The sequence below is a fragment of the Homo sapiens genome, chromosome 2 (assembly GCF_000001405.40).
Source record: "Homo sapiens chromosome 2, GRCh38.p14 Primary Assembly".
Taxonomy (NCBI): domain Eukaryota; kingdom Metazoa; phylum Chordata; class Mammalia; order Primates; family Hominidae; genus Homo; species Homo sapiens.
In genome coordinates, this window is record NC_000002.12 from 174,020,227 (window position 1) to 174,041,099 (window position 20,873).

Consider the following 20,873-nt stretch of genomic DNA (forward strand, 5'->3'; position numbering starts at 1 on the left):
CCATTTGTCAACACCTCAGAGGAGAAAATGTCAGCAGCACATGATGGCGATCTAACTAGTTATGAATTTGAATTTGGCTGTTCTCCTTCCTCCTCAGGAGAAAGGATATATGATCTGAACAATCTATTACCTTTAAATGTCATAGTTTCCTAAACTAGATAAATATTCTACCATACTGCTTGGCCCACCAACCAAGGGTAGGATAACACCAAAGGAGCCAGAGATTTAGCCTGCAAGAATAATGATCACAAGCCTGGCATGGTGGCTCACGCCTGCAATCCCAGCACTTTGGGAGGCTGAGGTGGGCAGATCCCTTGAGGACAGGAGTCCGAGACTAGCCTGGCCACCATGGTGAAACCCCATCTCTACTAAAAATACAAAAATTAGCCAGGTGTGGTGGTGCATGCTTGTAATCCCAGCTACTTCGGAGGCTGAGGTAGGAGAATCACTTGAACCCGGGAGGCGGAGGTTGCAGTGAGGTGAGATCATGCCACTGGACTCAGCCTGGGCAACAGAGTGAGACTCCATCTCAATAATAATAATAATAATAATAATAATAACAAAAACAGTAATAGCTAACAGTTAACAAGTGCTTCCTATACGCTAGACCCTACAAAGTATCTACCGTTCCAAGTGCTTTGTGTATATTGACTCATTTAATCCTCCAAAAACTCTATGCGATTATCCCCATTTTACAGATGAGAAACAGGCACGGGGAGTTGTACTAAGATTGCAGAACCAAGCAGTCTGCCTCCAGAGTCCAGGCCCTTAAAACCAATCACCCGGAGCAGAAGCAGTTGTATCTTCATTATCATCAACACTTATTAGATACTTATGACAGGCATGTGACCTGCTTCACATGCACTTAATCCTCACAAGAACCCCATAAGGAAGGAGGATTGTCATTTCCCATTTTACAGACGAGAACACTTAGGCTGACATAGAATAACTTGCCCAAAGTCACATACCTCCTACGTGCCAGGGCAGGGACAATGGGCCTGTCAGACTCTTTACCACTGTGAGAGCTGTGCTGGTAAGGAAAGGATTCTGATCCTGGCAGAGCAGCAGATCCTAACTAAAGTCACTAGCATATCAGCAGGGAAGTCTGCAATGCACCGAGAGGCCCTCTGTGAAAGGGTGCATTATAGGGCTGGGGCAGCTGGGGCAGAAAATACACAGTGAGCCTGGAGCATTTGACAGAAAGTAAAGGAGTGCTCAAAACAAACACCAAACAGAGCAAAATGCAAAAAAGGAGGAAGTCATGTCAAAAAGGACACAGGAGCAAGCCCAAAAAGTGTGCAGAGTCATAAACAGAAACCAACTGAGCAATAAAAAAAACAGTACTGGATTCTAACCCAAAGAATAAAATAAATCTCCATAGTGCATACTGATATAAAGAAATGATTGAATGAATAAATGAGTAGAAGAGAGAAACTGTCCTTACAGGATTCCCAATGATAAAGGTAGAAGGCACGAGGGAAGTAGAAAATCACCATTTGAACACCACAGTAATAACTGCTGCAGCTAAGATTCACTGATGAATACTAAAATTAGTGGGTGAAACTTTAAGCAGAAATAGAATCTTTGTATAGCCTCAAAGTATCTACCCAAAAACATTAATAAGTCACTGTGGTGGTTTTAACGTATGTCCACAAATTCTTTGATACTCCTTCCTCTAGAAAAGGAGCTTAATTCCTTTCCCCTTGAGTATGGGCTGGACTTAGTGACTTACTTCTAACAAATGGAGTATTGAAAAAGAAAATTAGTAACTTCATAGAGGCAAAACCTGGCAGACACCTCCTTAACCAAGTGATCAAGCTTAACGTCACCTGTAATCTTTCAGGCTGATACCATGTACCCCCAATAGGATGTCATGAGAAAGGCACTTCCCCTAGTGATATTCTTCCCCAAAATTCATAAGAAAACGTTAGTCAATCTCAAACTGAAAGACATCCTACAGTATACCTGACCATAACTTTTAAAAGTGTCAAGGTCACGAAAAACAAAGAAAGCCTTTAAAACCATCACATATTGGTGAAGACTAAGGAGACAGGACAACTCAATACAATGTGAGACCCTGGATTGGATTCTAGGACAGAAAAAAAGGATGAGTGGGGAAATTGGTGAAATCTGAATGAAGTCTGTAGTTCAGCTGATAGTTCCGTATTAATGTTAATCTCTCAGTTTTGATAACTATACCATGGTTATGTAAGATATTACCTTTAGGTGAAGCTGAGTGAAGGGTATAAGGGAATGCTCTGGGATGTCTTTGTGGAGGGGAATGCGCAGAAGTTGAGAGACCAGAGGTGAGGTTCAGTGGCTCATGCCTCTAATCGCAACACTGTGAGAGGCTGTGGCGGGAGGATCACTTGAGCTCAGGAGTTCAAGAGCAGCCTGGGCAACAAAGTGAGACCCATCTGTACAAAAAAAAAAAAAAAAAAAATTAAAAAATTAGCCAGGCATGGTGGAGTGCACTTGTAGTCCCAGCTACTTGGAGCTGAGGTGGGAGGATCACTTGAGCCCTGGAGGCTGCAGTGAACTATGATCACATCACTGCACTCCAACCTGAGAGACAGAACGAGATCTTCTCTCAAAAGAAAGAAAAGTTTCAACAGCCTCCTACCTAAAGCACAGCCTCCTACCTAAGCCCCTGTGCTTTAGGTAGGAGGCTGTTGAAACTACCTTGCCTTTGTTGATTGCTTTGTAACTATGCAATGCTTCCTTTGTTCTCTCACTAGACTGGACTCACTCACCACAGTTCTATGATTTTTCTCTGTTAGTTTCTGAAGACCTGGAAGAGAATTAGAGAAAACAGGCAGCAGAGTTAGGAAGCGGCAGAGTAGGCAAGGAGACAGGTCCAGTTGATGGTATAAACTAACACATACCATGCTCGTGTGAGATATTTAGTAATAGGGGAAACTGGGCCAGGTGTGGTGGCTCACCCCTGTAATACCAGCACTTTGGGAGGCTGAGGCGGATGGATCACTTGAGATCAGGAGTTCAAGACCAGCCTGGCCAACGTGGCAAAAACCCTGTCTCTACTAAAAATACAAACAATTAGCCAGGTGTGGTGGCGGGTGCCTGTATTCCTATCTACTCAGGAGACTGAGGCAGGAGAATTGCTTGAACCCAGGAGGGGGAGGTTGCAGTGAGCCGAGATCACGCCACTGCATTCCAGCCTGGGCAACAGAGTGAGACTGTCTGAAAAACAATAATAATAATAGTGGAAGCTGGGGTGGGGTATATAGGAACTCTCTCTGTAATGTTCTCAGTTTTTCTGTAAAATTAAAACTATTCTAAAAAGTAAAGTCTATTTAACATAAAAAACAAAAAACATTCCTGTCTATGCTCCTAGGTAAACAGAGCACAGAGACTCAGTTTCAGCAGAGCGGCCCTGGTTTGGCTCCAAGGCACTTGCGAGGGTGCCCAGAGAGAGAATGTGACATGTGGCAGAAAGCAGAGCCACAGAGACGACAGAAGGGCCTGGGGAAGGGGACAGAAGGTCATAGGAAGACAGGAGAAGGAGGGGTGGGGAGGATGGCGGTGAGACAGCCCCGGTGCTTCGGGCCATTCCTTTTCCTAGTTGCCCTCCCCCCAGGAGCCCTCTACTCCAAACTCTACTCCCACCCTGCTGGGTTTCCTAGACTGCATGATTTTGCCAGGTACTCCCCTCCACTCCTCTCCACCCGGCCTCTGGCTTCCCTGGGGCTGGGCCAGTGGGAGGCCAGGGAGGGGAGTGGGCTGAGAGCACTTAGGCCCCTCCCCCACCAGTTTGCCTCCAGGGCCCCCTCTCTTGCAGGGGCGTTGCTCCTGTCAGGCAGCCCCTCCCTGGCTCTTCTCACTGGTGCCCTGGCTGGGAACTGGAGCTGTGCTTGCCCCTGCAGGCCTGGCCACGGTGATGGTTCCTGCGGTGAGGACTGCACTATGCCTTGTTTCTCTGATCTCTGCCCACATCTTAGTAAATCCTCCCATTATTAAACACTTCTCAGTTACTCAATTGAGTACGTCATCGGTTTCGCCCCGGGACTGCAATGGACAGAAAAAAAAGTGACTCACACATGGTGTTTCTTTAGTGTTCACCTTCCCCTTTAGAACAGAAACTCCACGAGGGCAGAGATTTTATATGCTTTGCTCATTGTCACTGCTGAGTCACTCCATAAATTTAACTTGTGAAATGAATGAGTGAATGCTCATTTGATCCGCAGTGTCTCATGTGGCAGTCACTCCTGCATGTGGCAGTCACTAGCACGAAATGTGGCTAGTGAGACCGAAACACTGAATTTTAAATGATAATCTACAGAGCTACCTGTGGCTAATGGCTACAGCCTCCTCTCTAAGGGGATCTCCTGCACTTAGGCAATTTCCTAGCTATTCAAGTCTATTCCGCCCCAATAGGGGTTAAGAAAGTTGCTCAAGGCTGAGGCAGGGAAAGTAACTAAATCACTTTAGCTGTTTCCCTCACCCTAGGGAACTGGGCTGCTGAGTTTTCTGGCTTGTCTCTGGGCAGGCAAGCTCGGGAATGTGTGCCTTGCTTTGGGATATTTGCATTTTAATTTCGCTGCAAACTTTGTTTCTTGGATAACTGTGCTTACCAGGCCCTTAAAAACTTGCAGCTTTATAAGAGCGCTGGCCCCAAGCCAGGGGAGTCTCCAGCTGCTGACTGATCCTGCCTGGAAAGTCAACTTGGAAGAGCCACAAATGTCCTAATCCTCTTCCAAACCGCCTAAGTAGGTTTATCCAGTGACCTGTAAAACCAAATTAGTAAAGGGACACTTTAATTCCAGCTCGTTAGAGAGCTTCTAAAATCGTTGAGAAAGCCAACACAGCAAATTCTGCGCTGGGGGGCTGAGAAATGCATCCCATTTTCAAAAGAAGATGTCCTTGCTTTCTCGTGGTTTCTCTCACCCACGCAGTTCAACACACAGAAAACCTTCTCTGTGGCTTTCACAGGGATCTCCAGGGAAGGTGGGAAGCCGTTCTTGAGAACGAGAAAAATACGGTGGCCCAGCAAGGTCAACTAATTTTCCCCAAGTTCTGCCACGTCCAGTCCCAGCTCTGGTCTCCTGACTCTGGCAGGGGGAACATTTGCACTGTTCTTGTTCCTTACCCCAGGAGCTGGCCTATTGCACAACCTCAGGAAACAGCCCCTATGCAATCCTGGCCCACAGAGCGGACATGTTCTGGTTTTTATTCAGCAGCTTTTTTATGAAGTGTGTTTTCCTTTCCCATCATGTCATCTGGAAGCAATTCCTCCCAACAGCTGGATTTGCTTTCACAATTGGTAAACACCGCGAATGGAAGGCCGGGGACGATGCGGAGCTCCCCGGAGGAGCCTTGTCCCCACCCGCTTGGCTCGCGTTCTGAAGCTTATCGCGGGTGCCTGCACAAGCCTCATCAAAATCGAGGGCGTCCTCCAGCAGGCGACCCACATTGCATTCCCCGCTTAAGAGGGTCAACGTGTTCTTCGGGGGAGAAATTTTCTGAATGCTTTGCAGATAAAATTGATCAGATGCAGGCCAGATTGCCAGCTGCCGGGGCCGCGTGCGCCTGTGGAGGCCCCACCAGCGCGGGGCACCAGCGCCTCGGGGTCCGGGGGAGGCCTCTCTCTGCACCGCCGCCACCAAAGCCAGTAAGAGAGGGCAAAACCCCAAAGAGCACTGACTGGGCCGTCAAGGAAGATGAATGTCTCCCCAAAAGTGCTCCTCGGGGACAAGTTTCCACGCAGATGCAACCGGGAACGCCGGCCAGGCTCCGGAAGGCGAGGCCCCAGAGCGCAGCGGCCTCCAAGCGCGGGCTCAGCCTGTCGCCTCCGCAGCCAGGGCCCAGGAGGCCGCTCTTCCGGGGTCACCAACACGGCTCGTTCTGAGCCTAGAGGCCCAGGGCACAGTGTGAGCCGGAATACGGTGTAGGGGACACAGCTCAGGCCCCAGGCACTCCCTCCTGTCGCAGAAGAAATGCTGTTCTTTGATCAATGTTTCTAATGTGGGGAAACCAGCCGAGCACGTGGCTGAACTCTCGGAGGGAGCACGGGGTGCTGGTGAGCCCCCGCTCTGATGCACAGAGACGCTGCTGGCCAGGCTGGGGTGGGTTGCAAAGGCTTCCTTCCATGCACCACCAACCCTGTGGGCAGCCAGGGCCTAGCTCTCATGAAGGGGCCTTCCCAGGGCAAAGTGGGCCTCTGACTGCAACGTTCTCTGGGCAGAGATAGGCATCCTTCCCACTGCACAAACAAAAGGAGACCGTCAAGGGGAGAGGCTCACCAGAGGACCCTGGTGAGGGCGACGCCCAACTCCTCAGCACAAGGCTGTGCTTCTTCCATGGAGCCCGTTTGCCTGGGCCCAGCGCGTGCGGAGTGCGTTCCTTCTCGCTCCCTCTGTCCTGTGGGCCCTCCTCTCTCTCCCTCCAGCCTGGTGGAAGCTTTATTCTCGTCGGGGGCCAGAGGACAGAAACTACATCATACATTTTCCCGTGCGTCATGTTATCTTGCCTGGAATTTTGAAAATCTGTGAGTTTCTGGTTTTTCCATGGCAAGGCTCATTCCTCCAGACCTTAGTCACTCTGCTCTGGCTGCCTGGACTGCTAGAGAGGGGCCTCAGGGCGCACCTGGAGAAATTCACTGGGGCCCAGGTCAGAGGGATGGGTGGGTGAGAGCAACCCCTTCCTTAATAGTTCAAAATGGCCCTCTGGCTTAAAGAGACCGAAGCCACGTAACAACCAAATGCAATGTGTGGGCCGTGTTTGGATCCTGATTCAAACAAACCAACTGGAAGAGGAGATTTGGGGATAATCAGGAAGATTTGAATTGGGACTGCGTAGCAGAAAATAGCAAAGAATTATTGTTAATTTTGATATGTGCGATAATGGTGTGGTAGTTATAGAAGAAAACATGCTTATCTTTTAAATGGTGTATATTAAAGTATTTAAGGGTGAAATATAATGTCTGGAGTTTGTTTTTAAATACAAAGAAAAAAACAAAAGATGAACCAAACATGCTAAGGTGTTAATGGTTAAATCTAGATGATGGCTGGATGGGATTCTTTTATACTATTCTCTCCACTTTTTTTTTTTTTTGGGGGGGACAGAGTTTCACTCTGTCACCCAGGCTGGAGTGCAGTGGTGCAATCTCAGCTCACTGCAACCTCCGCCTCCTGTGTTCAAGCGATTCTCCTGCCTCATGCTCCCGAGTAGCTGGGACTACAGGCGCCCGCCACCACGCCTGGCTAATTTTTGTATTTTTAGTAGAGACAGGGTTTCACCATGTTGGCCAGGCTGGTCTTGAACTCCTGACCTCAGGTGATCCACCCATCTCTGCCTCCCAAAGTGCTGGGATTACAGGTGTGAGTCACTGCACCCAGCCTATTCCCTCCACTTTCATGCACGTTGAACATTTTTTTATAATAAAGAGTTTAAAATATAGGCTCCTCTGGGTGCATTGCCTATGGGGTAGCCCGGCTGTGCAAGGAGTAGTAAATAAATAAATAAAATATGGACAATTTTATCACAAAAACTCACAGAGGAGAACCAAATACACACCTATGCACCTGTTTATGCACGTGTAAATTTACACATTGATTACTCGATTCTGTATTTTGGTCCTTAATCCTCCCAGGTGTCAGCTCTCAGGTATAGCAGGAAAGTGACAAGCAAGGGCAGTCAACAATGACTCCTGGAAGCTTAAACATTTTTTGTTAATATCTACTTATTTATCTATGTATGTATGTATTTTTTTTTTTTACCCTACTTGTCAGCTAATCCTACAAACTTTGACCAGGGGTTGCAGTTCCACCCTGAGCCCCCTCTGCCTGGCAAGAAATGGGAAGGGAGCTTCTCACAGAATCCCAGATCTCAGCAGCTGTTAGGGCTGTGGCTTCCTCCTGCACAGGCTGCATTGCTGCAGGAGCGGTTCAGGGGCCTGTGTGAAGGAAAGTAGGACACAGACCATATGCCACGGAGTCAGGACTCAGTAAAGTTCCTGTTATCACAGCTTTGGATTGCTCCTGCTGCCCTCACCCCTCACATTTCTACACTGTCCCATCAGTGTGCCGTTGTCATCCTGCCCTGACTTTTTCAGGACTTGAATACAGGAATAATCCTATGCCAGTCCCCTTGCTAAACACCAGGTACAGAGAAGGGCAGGATAAAGACTGTCCATCAGGGGCAATGGAGAGGCCTCCTGTTAGAAGAGTTAAAGCAGGGCCTGGCCCTGGCACCAACTTTCATCTCCCCATTCTAGGTTGGTCTGTGACCTTTAGGCTTATCCTGATCCTAGGAAGGATGAGCTTCTTTGCAGTTTTCTTATCTCCTCTTTCTGGCCGGTAACATAGGCTTTTTTTTTTTTTTTTTTTTTTTTAGAAAACGCCTTTTCCCCCCCTGCATTGAAATATGCCAGCTATTCTATTTTCCTTTATGTCCATGAGTAACAGGTAAGTTCCTGATGGACTGGGCCATGTCTTGGCCCTTTCTTGGTACTGACCACAGCACCCAGCCCTCCGGCATGGAAAGGAAGGCCTCACGCATAGAGGTAAAGAATGCTGTTGCTGAGAATCTAATGGAGTGATTGCCAATATGTCATAAGAAAAGACTGCTCTTTCATAAATGAAAAACCATTTTTAAAAATCCTAATTATACTTTATCTGTTTGGCTCAATATTTAATATCCTTACAGTATTTTAAATGGGCTGTCTAATTTTGCTCTTTTTCCTTCCTAATGATTTCTATCTTCGTCTCAATTGTAAGAAGTTAACAAGAACTACAAGTCTTGCCAATAGCATCCACACTTTCAGTTTTAAAATTTCTGCTCGTTTTTTGGTGAGCAATAAGGCTATTGACACCACAGAACAGACAGAGGGCTGACACTGCAGAAACTGAGCATAGTCCCACTGGTGTGCCGTCACGAGACAACTGAGAAGTTTTGCTTGTCCATGGGCACTCGAAAGTCCAAATTCAACCTGCAGAAGGTGATTGAAGAGGGGTAAAGTACAAAGTTTGAAAGTGTGGGTTGTTCATAAGCCAAATATATAGAAGTTGAAAATGTTGTCCAGCCCCACACAGAATGTAAGTACCTTGCAGGCAGGAACATTGTCCATTCTGTACATTGCTGTATCCCAGTGTCTAGAACAGGGGCTGGCTCACAGTAGATGCTCAATACTTACTGAAAGCATCAACTGCCTATGCTTTGGAGTTTTTGTAGACACTTGTCCCATTCTACCTTGTATTACCATTACTGTATTTTATTTCAAGACCAAAAGTTTCTGAAACCAGAAATAAGTCTTCCCTCCTATTACAAGTATCTCATTCATAACTAGGATTCAATAACTCTGTAGTAAATTATCTAATTTAGCCAATGATTAAATAATTTAGAAACAAAGTCCTAAATAGGTCATGAGGAAAGTGATGGCCCATGCGATAGAAATGGACAATTGCCGGAGCCCCTAGAAGGCCTAAAGTAACTGTGTGGCAGGCAAGTAAATTTCCTGCCCCAGAAATCTGGCAAAAGAATTCACTTGAGGATTTAAGTCTCAGAAATAAAGACCCAAGGTAGGAGGCAGAGAAGGGGAGGTCTTTTTCAGGGCCTATAGATTAAGGGTATTTAGATACCAGTTAAGAAAGGGACCAGATGCCAGCCAGGTTTGTGCTTCAGTTTAACCATGTTCCTTGCAAAACTTGCTTATGGGAAGATCAGAAGCTCTGACGATCATTACTGAAGAGGATTCAGAGAAATTATCGCCTACTCCCGGTTGAAGAGAGAACAAGTCGTGGTCTTTTTTTTGGTGTCAACCTCTATTGAAATGTGCTGTTGTCAAATCAAAAAGGGGACAGATTCGGAATTTTACAACTCTGATAAAAGTGAAATAAAAGGAAATCTGTATCATCTTAATCAAAGCATGTGCCACCTGAGTCGGCTCCCCGTCTCGTCCCTTGGCCTTGGTGACTCTCGTGTGCTGGAGGTTAAGGGTTTGTTAAAGAAGATGGGTTTTGATTAAGTGTCACATTTAGTGTGATGTGACATGCTCTTTATCATTGCAAGGGAAGATTGGGGGCCAAGGGGAGCTTTATAGCTAGTTCCCAATATAAATTAGGAGTCTTGGGGAATGGGTGCTTTGCAGTTGGCCTTGATCTTTCAAGGGCCCAATGAATGTGTGTATGTGAGAGTGTGCACGCATGTATGTGTGTGTGTGTTTGGAGAGATAGCAGAAAAGTCAGTTTCCAGGTTCCTGCGCTAATGGGCTGGTTACCCCCTCTTGGAGTTTGACTTGCAATTGTAACACAAGACTCCAGTTCTAAATTTGTCCACATTCTTGATGTACCAGGCAAAGGTCTTCGTACTTTTTACTCCTTTGGAATTTCAGTGTTGCCACTGCACAAATTTGAAGATAGAGAAGCAAGAGGAAGCATTCCGAGTGCTGAATGCCATTTCTAACCAGAGGCCATGGATGATGCCTACCCTGACTTTACCCAGAGAATGAAAACGTACAAATTCCCTTCAAATCTAAGGTGCACAGCACACCTGCAGACCCTGATTCTGGCTTAACTTGGAGCAGGGAGAGCACAGAGAAAGAGGTCACAGGAAACACCCAGAGTGAGCTGGAGTTCTCACGAGGAAGGGGAGGAGGGGATGAGGATTGAGGAATACATCCCAGAAGGACACTTCCACCCAATGGATTCCCCACCTCCAACTTAATCTTCTCCAAATATCACTCGCATGGAGTCTCTTCCCTGCTCGAAATCTTTCAATAGCCCTCCTCTTCCCTCCCATTGCCTACAAATGAAAATCCACACTCTCCATCCTGGTATTCGATGCCTACATCCTGAGCACCACCAAATGAATCTTCTGTTCACTGCCCACAGAGTGACTTACTTGTTCCTGTCTTCAAGCACCCACTCATGTTGCTCCCCTACCTGAAACGCCTTCCCCCTTTCCCTCTCCCATGGAAAGGCCACCCATCTTCCTTAAGATGGAGTCACAGCCCGCTGAGATCACTCCTTTTATTTATTCCAGAAATATGAATTGAGAGCCTACTAAGTGCCCAGAACTGCTCTGGGCACCTGGGATAGGACAGAGGACAAAACAGATAAAGCTGCCTGCCTTTGGGGAGCTTGCAGTATTGCAGAAGGAGGGACTCTGATACTAAATGCTAAACGCAGTACATCAGCAGGATGACTTAGTAGCTGAGGTTGCTATGGAAAAAAGAACAAAACAGAGGAGGGAAAGGGAGACCAGGAGCTTGGGCATTGGGGGCAGAGGCCGGTTGCAGTATTAATAAACATGGACGGGCCCATCTCACTGAGGTGGAAGACTCTAGGGAGGTGAGAAGCCAGCTGAGCAGATGCCTGGGGGAGGAGAGTTCTGGGCAGAGGGAACACCTAGAGTAAGGATGTCCTCTGTCCACACAGAGTTGCCCTGTCCTTAAGAGGGATGGAGCACCCCTCCTTCTCTCCCTCCTCCTCACTTTTCTGCAGGCAGCAGGTCTCTGCAAAAGATGCCTGTGGACAAAGAAGATATAAGAAGATCCATAAGGTTGACACTGAAGGGAAAGGCCTCCAATGTTTGTTGTGGCATTAAGGCAGAGAAATTAGAAGAGTAATGGAGAAGTGCTTAGGTTTTTATTGCTGTGTTCAAAGGTAAGTTTTTTAAACATCAAATTTATAATAGTATTACCTGGCTATTGCCTCTTGATGCGGGAAAAAATGCCAACTACACTTGGGAAATAGACAACACCCCTCTGCTCCTTGAAACAGCTCCTCCTGGCTCAGTTCCTCCCTCCTGCTGACTCACCCATTGCCGTGCGGCTTGTCTTCCGCCCTCATCACTGAGACTTCATCAAAGCTTTCTAATATCCATCTCCCTGGACAGGGTGATGGTCATTACGTGCAGGTCATCTTGCCTTAATGTGGAGTATGGAGCTGAGTCTCTGCTCTTTCACTTCCTCCCTGTGTGACCTTGGGTGAGTTACTCAGCCAGTTTGGGCCTTGATTCACCTATCCATAAAATGGGGTTTATCTTAACATCCTTCTGTGGCTCACTCCATGCAAAGCACTGGGCGTAGGGCCTGGCCCACCGTCAACCGCAAAGAGCGATTGGGTTGTCACTCTGACTCTGACTCCAGGGTTTCAGGCCTCCTGTTGCAGCCGTCTTCCTCTTTTTTTTTTTTTTTTGAGACAGAGTCTTGCTCTGTCACCCAGGCTGGAGTGCAGTGGCGCAATCTCGGCTCACTGCAACCTCCACCTCCCGGGTTCAAGCGATTCTCCTGCCTCACCCTCCTAAGTAGCTGGGACTACAAGCGCCTGCCACCACACCCGGGTAATTTTTTGTATTTTAGTAGAGACGGGGTTTCACCATGTTGGCCAGGCTGGTCTCGAACTCCTGACCTCGTGATCCGCCCGCTTCGGCCTCCCAAAGTGGCAGGATTACAGGCGTGAGCCACTGTGCCTTCTTCTCTTGCTGCTTGTGCTTGCAGTCCCTGCTCCCTCCCACGTTTCTGCCCATCCCATAAGCAGCAGCGAGGTTTCCCAGAACTCTGGCTTCTCTCCCTGCCCACACTTCCTACCTGGCCTCTTCACAGCCACAGCCAGGGCTTCAACCACCCCCATTTATACTAGTGGCCACCACCCCCATTTTCTCTATCCCAGCCCCTAGCCTAAGTTCCAGACTGGTGGATCCACTTCGTGCCGAGTAGCACTCAATCCAAGTCTGTCTAGGCTGATTTCATCTCTACCTCACCCTCGCCTCCTCTTCCTAATCCCTGTATATCATTACCCCCGCTCCCTCCCAGCCTGTCTTTCATTCTTTTAATCATCAACACTCTGGAATGTCTGTAAAGTTAAACAAAGATCCCTGGGATGTGGTCCCTACCCTCAGGGATCTCCCAGGGCAACAGACAGAGGCAGTAATTACAATTCAAAGAAGAAGGTGGCTTGACAAAAGGAAACATAGGCCTTAGGTGAGTGGTAGCAGAGGGGCCTACCTGGCCTAGGGGTTCAGGGGACTTCTCTAAGAGGGCTTGAGGAACCCAGGCAAGAAGTCAACAGGAATGGCCTTGAATACATTCTTATTTTGGAGGTTGCTTATTGCCTCAGGAAAGAAATAAGGACAGGTGGATTGCAGATCTCTCTGGGCCCCAGGCACTCTTACTTGTGGAGACCACGCCCCACCATAGAATAGGCATTAAATTGCATGCCTGTCCCACATCAAGCATAGTTATTCTGTATTGCTGTTTCTGAGAGATCTCTGATAACTTTGCTTTTTAAAGTTATCTGACTACAACGCCCCTAACCCCTGCTAATTTAATATATATTGGCTATGCCTTCTCTCAAGGCCATGAATAGTCAGAAACTCTTGTATAGGAGAAAAACCTAACCTACAAATTGCTGTCAAATGTACTGAAATTTCTATGAAATCAAAAGTTAACAAGGGAGCTGACATAATTTACATTTTGGAGCCATTGAAATATTTGTTAATTTTAATTTTGCACTTTTCTTCTTGTATTTTGGAGCTACCACACCCCCACACCACCCCTTGCTTCCGGGTTTCAAGTCTTTTAGTAGGACCTTGGCAAGTTTGTAGTCCTGGTGATGAGCTTAGGGAGGTTACTGGGTAACTGGGCCATCAGAACCAAGCCTGTGTCCACCAGGATGGAGAGGACAGGCAGGACAGTTGGTATTAAAGAGACATTTAGGAGAGAGACATTTAGGATAAGACTTAGTGAAAGATCAGAGTTGTGCAGAGAGGACTTCGAGTGACTCAGAGTCTGAGTGGCTGGTGGGCCCATTCCCCAAAGACACAATGAAGGAGAAACAAATGGAGGGAAGAGAAATGGTTAATTTGGGGTGGGGCACATTAACTCCAAGACAGGCAATCAGTTTGCCTGAAGGACCCCCAAATGGAGACATCCAGGGGACTTTAGATGGATGGGTCTGGGGATGAGCAGATGCTCTTGGCTTAGGAAGGGCCAGCCCCTGCACTTTGTCCTCTCAACATCCCTTTGGGGTAGGTGCTGCTACCATCTCCACATTATCTCCAGATGAGACTGAGCTGCAGGGAGGTGAAGGAACTCGCCCAAGGCTACACGCAGATGTAGGTGGGGGCACTCTGCCCATACTCTGAGCCACTCAATCTGGGAGATGGGAGGAAGTAGGAGGTGCCCGAAGTCTTGGGAATACAAGTAAAGGTTAAAGTGTACAGAGACAAGAGATGATTCTGAGGGAACACTCACTATTTTAAGAGAGTCTGTGGAGGAGCAGCAACTAGAGAAGGAAGGGGAGACCTGGACAGGGTTGGGTCCTGGATGCCTCTGGGATGCCGGAAGGAGGGTGGCAGAGCCATCATTGTGAGGGGCTGCCACAATGGCACTGGAGGTCCATTTGGCAAATTGAAGCTAAATTAGCAGGGCTCCAACTGAGGTTTGTGGGAGTATTCAAAGGCACCCAAGTAGAGCAGGGATGAGGATGAGAGCTGAAAACTCACCAGCATCCCTCTCCCCAAGCCGGGTACCACTCCCCACCAAGTCCCGTATGAGCCAGAACACAGCAATGGGGTGCAGGTTGGGGGGTAGGCAAACGATAGATGTAGAAGAAGTGTATCAAAGACTTGCCTTTCAAGTTCTTTGGCTGGAAGGAAAGGAGAGTGAAGGTGATGTCTAGAGAAGGAAGCAGAGTTGAACATTTCTCCCTGAACCGAAAGAACCAGCAGACAGGGGAGGATGAACGAATGAACTAGGCACTGCGGTTACCTAGTGACCCAGCAGAAGACTTTCCAACTGAGTCTTCCTTACAAACCACAGAATGTAGAGCTCCATCCTGAACTCCCTACACCTTGCTTCAGTAGGGCCTTCAGGGTTGACAGTTTTTAGTCAGCCCTGCAGAAAGGAGACAGATAATCAGTTTGCTCCTAAATATCACTGGCTCCATTCATCCTGGAATGGCGATATCAGGCACCAAAGCACAGACTGCTGGGACGTGGGGGACCTGGGAGAACCATAGGCAGCACCTTCTGAAACAGAAGAGTCACACACAAGGATGACTCTGAACATTCCCTCTTTCAACAAAGCAATACGGGCTCATTAAATAACATTTGGAAAACACAGGAAAGTTAATTAAAGAAAATATCCCACTCATAGTCCTGTTATCCAAACACTAGTATTACTCATTTTTTAAGATCTTCTGGGGATTTTCTCTGTGTAGGGTTTTTTTTTTTTTTTTAATCTTAGCTGTAGTCATGTCTACAATTTCATATCCTGCTTTTCCTACTTACTATATTGTGTTTTCTTCTGTCATTACTCACTTTAGTTTATTGTAATGAGTGCATAAAATATCATCATGTGAATTTGTCAAAGTTTATTTAACCATTGCCCTAGAGTTGGACATTTAGATTACTTTCAGTGTTTTGATGTTGTCAATTTTTGTTACTATAAATGATATTGCAATGCGTATGTGCACATAAACCATTTTTTGGCATTTAGGGTTATTTCTTTAAGACAGAGTCTCAGAAGTGAAGTTATCGAATTAACAAGTATGAACGCTTCTCAAGAGTTTTACATTCATACTGCCAAATTCCTCCCCAAAGGGCACTATATTAATGTATACTGTGATTAGCAATATGTAAAAATGTTAGCTTTGTGATGGCTTAAACCACACTGGCTAGTATTACTAAAAAAAAATTGTTTTTGCTAATTTAATAGGTAAAAAGTGAGCTTGATTTTTTAATGTAAACTTTGTAGTGAAGTTTATCATGCGTTCAGAAAAGTACACAAATCACGAGTGAATTTTTACAAAGTGAACACCCCTGAGTAATCAGCACCCAGATTAAGAAACAGAACCTTACCCCTAGAGGCCACTATTGTGGCCCCGTTCCCCCTCCTCCACTCCACCCAAGGGTCATCGTTGTTCTGACTTCTCCCACCAGGGGCTAGTTTTGGAAAGTGGCGTTGCTCTAATTTTCATTTCCTGGATTACTAGTGGATCTAACCGCTTGCCACATCTTAGTTGATGAGCTGTAGTTTCTCTTTTGTAAATTGTCTTTTTAAGTTCTTTGTCTCAGAAACTGTTGATTCTTAAGCTATTTCCCAATGTCGAGTTTGGCTAAAGGCGGAGTGTAGTCATCATGACATTGTTTGAAACTGGAGAAACATGTCGTATGTGTGTCTATGTGTGTACGTTTTTTGCTCTCATGATCTTATCCTGACAATGTAGTAGTCCCCCCATCCAAAGTTCCACTTTCCATAGTTTCAGTTACCCATGATCAGCCTTGGTCTGAAAATATTAAATGGAAACACCAGAAATAAACAATTCCTAAGTTTTCAGTTGTATACTGTTCTGGGTGGCATGATTAAATCCCATACTGCCCCACTCTGTCCTGCCAGGACGTGACTCACCCCTTTGTCCAGCATCTTGGTGCCATAGACGCTCCCTGCCCGTGGTTGCTCCGTAGCCCTCTTGGCAGTATCACTATGCCTGTGTTCCAGTAACTCTTACTTCACTTAATTGTTCTATCTTGTTATTAGTTATTGTTGCTAATCTCTTACTGTGTCTAATTTATTAATTAAGCTTTATCATAAGTATGTATATACAGGAAAAAACGTAGCCTATGTAGGGTTCAGTACTATCTGTAGTTTCAGACAAACACTGAGAGTCTTGGGGTGAATTCCCTCCATGAGGGGGGACAGGTGTACTCCTCTTATTTATGCTTCTCCATTGCAAAGCAAGATGGCATCTCTCTAGGCAACACCTGGAAGCCAGGGTAACTTTTTGGTGACAAAGCTGAGCCTAAATAGTCTCTGCTGTACTTCCAGTGTCTGTGAGAATTACAGAAATAGGTCACTGAACCTTTTTAAAAATAGAACTGACACATTTGGGGAAAGCATTTTTTCTGCTGAGATAGCACACAGTACAAGATGAAATGATCCCTAGAGGGTAGATGAATTTAGACATTTGGTATTAAAAATAAATAAATAGTCTTAATGACTCACAGGGAACATAGCACCTTTCATAAGAAAGGTCTCTAAACATTGTTACCTGAACAGACCACAATAAATTTCTAATATACAAGGTACAAGCCATTGCCAGCCCCTGCCCACCTACACCTGGCAACAGCTTTTGATGGGAAGAGAAGGGCCACATTGGCTGTGGGCAGTTCCCTCAGCAATGCCAGATGTCCTGTCTCCCTGGGTTTGCTTGATCCCCTCTTAATTTCCTACACAGCCCACCAGCTCACCCTTGGACAGGCATATGGCTGCATAAGAGGCAAGAAGGGGTAGGGTTACCACACTGCCTGCGAGCATCTCCACTCCAGCTCTTCCAAGGCCTTGACCGCTTTGTGTTAGGGCAGCCCCAGAATCCTTTACCCAACGCTCCCCATGAGCTGTCTGGGACCCCAGATCTGCCTGTGCGGGGCCCTTTTCCACTTCCTCCTGAGCCATCTTCAGAAAGCTCCCTCTGGCTATTGCCCAGCCCCTCTTCACACCCCCTGCTGCCTTCAGGAGCCTCATGAATCCACAGTGGACCTCAGGTCTTCTTAAGAGATTCCTAAGGAACTCCCTCCCCTTCCATGCTGGGCTCTGCTACTGAGAAGAGCAAGGTCTGCCGGCTGGAAGGCAGGACCTCGGGGTACTGCGGGGAAGATGCTTTGATTTAGTCCAAGAATGGCAGGAGAATACCAAGAGGGATTGGCTGTCCCAGAAGTGGGGCGTGAATGGAAGCAAGGGGTGAAGTAGAGCAGGGGCAGGGCCACTCGCCTTTTAGGAAGCGTGGGCAGCAGGGAGAAAGGTATAGGGCTGTCACTACCCAGGTATCAGAGCAGTGGCTCTGGGAATGTGGGAAATAGGAGGGGACAGAGGGACAGGTATAAGACATTCTTCAGAAGTAGAACCCACTGAAGATTTGGTGACATAGAGTTGGCACCAAGGGAAAGACGAGTCACAGATGCCATGCAGCACCTTCTAACAAGAACTCAGCTCCTTTCATGATACAAGTGTCCATTCCATAGGAGTGTACTGAGTGCTTACTTTGTGGCAGATACTGCTGTAGACTCTAGAAATGACATGTAGCTACTACCCAAAGGGAGTTTTAATTCTGTTGGGAGAAAGGCAGGCAATGCAGACAACAAAGTAAACAAATAAAAAAGATGATTTCCCATGGTGACAGATGCTCTTGGAAAATAATTTGGGCCGGGGGAATTGTGGGATCGGGAGGACTTTTCAGAGAAAATGACATTGGAGCTGGATAAAAAGAAGGGGCCAGTCCAGGAGAAGCCAGGGCAACAATATTCTAGGTAAATAAAAGAGCCTCTGCAAAATGCCCCAAGGTAGCATCAACCTTAGCACACTTGAGGAGCAGAAAGAGGACCACTGTGGCATGACAAAAAGAATTTTGCAAGACTAAATTGTTTTCTGACCTCCTGCAGAGCTGCCGTTGAAGCCTTACTAACTTAGAGTTTCACCTCTGGTTTCTAGACACTACAAGCCCTTCCCGTTTCTCTTTTCTCTTTCTCTCCAGACCAGCTACAGCAAGGAGGGAGATCAGTAGCCTTAAGACCCCATGTAGGACTTAAGAAAGGACTGGAACCAGTTCAGTCCTCCCAGAAGCCAAATGGGGAGGGGGTCCTGAGGCCAGTCTGGCTCCCTTTTTCAAGAATGTGGTTCTTAACCACCTTTGAGCTATGAACTCCTATAGCAATCTGATACAAGCTGGGAAAAATTACACACACACATAATTCTGTACACAACCTCAGAGAAAGCACATTGTAGACCTTCTCCTAAGGTCGCTACTTTGGCAGTTCTTTCAAAACCAGTCCATTTTCTCATTAAGGCTGTGTCCCTTTCACAGAAGAGAGGATGTGTGAAAAAAAAAAACACCTTATAAACAGCAAATCAACCTATTAATACAGCCTATAAATACAAATTCTTGTAAGATATAGAATAGATCGGTCGGGGGTGGTGGCTCACGCCTGTAATCACAGCACTTTGGGAGGCCGAGGTGGGTGGATCACGAGTTCAGGAGGCTGAGACCAGCCTAACCAACATGGTGAAATCCCGTCTCTACTAAAAATAAAAAAATTAGCCGGGCGTGGTGGCGGGTGCCTGTAATCCCAGCTACTGAGGAGGCTGAGGCTGGAAAATCGCTTGAACCCAGGAGGCAGGGGTTGCAGTGAGCCGAGATCATGCCATTGCACTCCAGCCTGGGCGACAGAGTGAGACTCCGTCTCGGAAAAAAAAAAAAAAAAAGAAAAAGAAAAGAAAAAGAATAGATCTTCCATAGAGATGCATCCACATATAAAATATAACCATAATAATGGTGGAAATATATTTACACAGTGTTTTTACTTTGCAGCACACATATATCATTTTATCCCATTGAAATCCTTGGCACATGGTTAGGGAAGACATTGTTCCATTTTATAGATGAGGACACTGAGGAAGAGAGGGCTAGGTGGCATGCCTGCAATGACAGGGCCGGGTGGCAGCAGCACTGGGACAGGAACCAAGGTCTTGTCACTCCGAGGCCCAGGCTTCCCAAGAGGCACACGGCAGGGCAATGCCATCTTGACCTCTCTTTGAAGTCTCTCCATGGCCTTACGCAGGACCTGGAGGCGCTCACGGCAAAGGCAGTGTTTGTGCACGCACACTTGGCCCACATCAGCCTCCTGGTGAGAAACAGAGACACAGAGGAAATGATGTTTTCTAACACAGGGAAAGAAGCACAGGGCCTGCCTTCAGAAATCAAGGTTGCGTAGACAGAGGGGAACTTTTTACTAGGGCTTCCTCTTGGCCAATTAAACCTAATGACTCATTTCCTTTTTCTTCTGAAAACAAAACAGCATTTTCTCCTACCGTCCTGAAGGAGGAGAAACCTGGAAGATCGCCACCTAGTGGCCCAGACCATCAAGATCGTGGCTCCTTCTCCCCCTGCTACCCCGCCCCCACTTCATAGGCCACCTTGCCTATTAGAAAACTGGACCCATACCCCTCACCATGCAGCAAGATAATCTCAAATGGATCAGAAATTCAAACGTAAAAAATGAACACAAACAAGTATTAGAAGACACATCGGTGGACTTCTTTATACCCTGGGTGTGGGAAGTCTGTCTATGATTCAAATCCCAGACGCAAACCAAAGGGCCTCTGGGCGCTTGCTCCTCCAGCTAAGACAGGAGTTGGGGGGGAAAGGGGATGTGTGTGCAATCTTCACCTCCATGTGGCATCTGCCCTACCCCATTAGAGCTAAGTGACTGTCCCCAACCTGGGCTCCTGGGATCAAGCGGAGGGAAACAGATAAAAAACAATTAAACTGACTGGGCCCACTGCCCCCTTTGCCTTCTTGGCAGACAGGAAAAGAGGTCTCAAAGCTGTGCCTCACAAAAAGGAAGACACTTAAGATATCAAGGGGCATGGAGCTGGGCACAGTGGCTCCCACCTGCAATCCCAGCACTTTGGAAGGACAGGCAGGAGGATCCTTTGAGTCCAGGAGTTTGAGACCCGCCTGGACAAAATATTGAGACCCTGTCTCTACAAAAAGTAAAATAAAATAATTAAAAATTAGCCAGGTGCAGCACTGCATCCCTGTAGTCTCAGCTACTCTGAAGGCTGAGGCAGGAGAATCATTTGAGCCAGGAGGTCGAGGCTGCAGTGAGCCAAGATCACACCACTGCACTCCAGCCTGGGCCAGAGTGGAAGACCTTGTCTCAAAAAATAAAATAAAATAAAAAAGTAGTTTTTTTTTCAAATAAAAATTTTAAGAGAGGCATGGAAACCCAGTCCAAGCTCAGCCTGACACCAAAATGAATGCTTTGCTAATGAAAAATAAAATACTCCAACGGCATAAAATAAAGTATTAATAAATTCAACAACTTTAAAAAAACCTGCTGCATGGCAAGAAAATTGG

General features: G+C 46.7%; 1 long non-coding RNA gene across 1 annotated transcript, besides 8 other annotated features; it reads left to right on the top strand.

Annotated features, from left to right (window-relative positions):
* Positions 988-1,147: an enhancer, noted in NCBI's record as "active region_16770". NCBI's record gives its function as "activates an Ori minimal core promoter by ATAC-STARR-seq in GM12878 lymphoblastoid cells {active_cell/tissue: GM12878}" and the evidence as "EXISTENCE:reporter gene assay evidence [ECO:0000049][PMID:35858748]".
* Positions 3,163-4,033: an enhancer, noted in NCBI's record as "NANOG-H3K27ac-H3K4me1 hESC enhancer chr2:174888117-174888987 (GRCh37/hg19 assembly coordinates)". NCBI's record gives its function as "activates a minimal SCP1, AML or CMV promoter by ChIP-STARR-seq in naive H9 embryonic stem cells {active_cell/tissue: H9 hESC(naive)}" and the evidence as "EXISTENCE:reporter gene assay evidence [ECO:0000049][PMID:30033119]".
* Positions 3,163-4,716: a biological region, named in NCBI's record as "P300/CBP strongly-dependent group 1 enhancer GRCh37_chr2:174888471-174889670".
* Positions 3,517-4,716: an enhancer, noted in NCBI's record as "P300/CBP strongly-dependent group 1 enhancer chr2:174888471-174889670 (GRCh37/hg19 assembly coordinates)". NCBI's record gives its function as "activates an origin of replication core promoter dependent on BRD2, BRD4, P300/CBP, MED14 and CDK7 cofactors, with strong dependence on P300/CBP, by STARR-seq in HCT116 cells {active_cell/tissue: HCT116}" and the evidence as "EXISTENCE:reporter gene assay evidence [ECO:0000049][PMID:35650434]".
* On the top strand, positions 5,054-6,932 carry LINC01960 (long intergenic non-protein coding RNA 1960). The gene has a single exon (NR_136175.1). It is a non-coding gene; the product is annotated as a long intergenic non-protein coding RNA 1960 (long non-coding RNA).
* Positions 16,938-17,438: an enhancer, noted in NCBI's record as "H3K4me1 hESC enhancer chr2:174901892-174902392 (GRCh37/hg19 assembly coordinates)". NCBI's record gives its function as "activates a minimal SCP1, AML or CMV promoter by ChIP-STARR-seq in primed H9 embryonic stem cells {active_cell/tissue: H9 hESC(primed)}" and the evidence as "EXISTENCE:reporter gene assay evidence [ECO:0000049][PMID:30033119]".
* Positions 17,439-17,939: an enhancer, noted in NCBI's record as "H3K4me1 hESC enhancer chr2:174902393-174902893 (GRCh37/hg19 assembly coordinates)". NCBI's record gives its function as "activates a minimal SCP1, AML or CMV promoter by ChIP-STARR-seq in primed H9 embryonic stem cells {active_cell/tissue: H9 hESC(primed)}" and the evidence as "EXISTENCE:reporter gene assay evidence [ECO:0000049][PMID:30033119]".
* Positions 19,591-19,991: a silencer, noted in NCBI's record as "fragment chr2:174904545-174904945 (GRCh37/hg19 assembly coordinates)". NCBI's record gives its function as "represses an EF-1alpha promoter that drives an FKBP-Casp9 reporter gene in an ReSE screen in phorbol 12-myristate 13-acetate-treated (for megakaryocytic differentiation) K562 erythroleukemia cells {active_cell/tissue: K562(+PMA)}" and the evidence as "EXISTENCE:reporter gene assay evidence [ECO:0000049][PMID:32094911]".
* Positions 19,695-19,989: an enhancer, noted in NCBI's record as "tiled region #8299; K562 Activating DNase unmatched - State 5:Enh, and HepG2 Activating DNase unmatched - State 1:Tss". NCBI's record gives its function as "activates a minimal TATA promoter and a strong SV40 promoter by Sharpr-MPRA in K562 cells, with weak activation in HepG2 cells {active_cell/tissue: HepG2 | K562}" and the evidence as "EXISTENCE:reporter gene assay evidence [ECO:0000049][PMID:27701403]".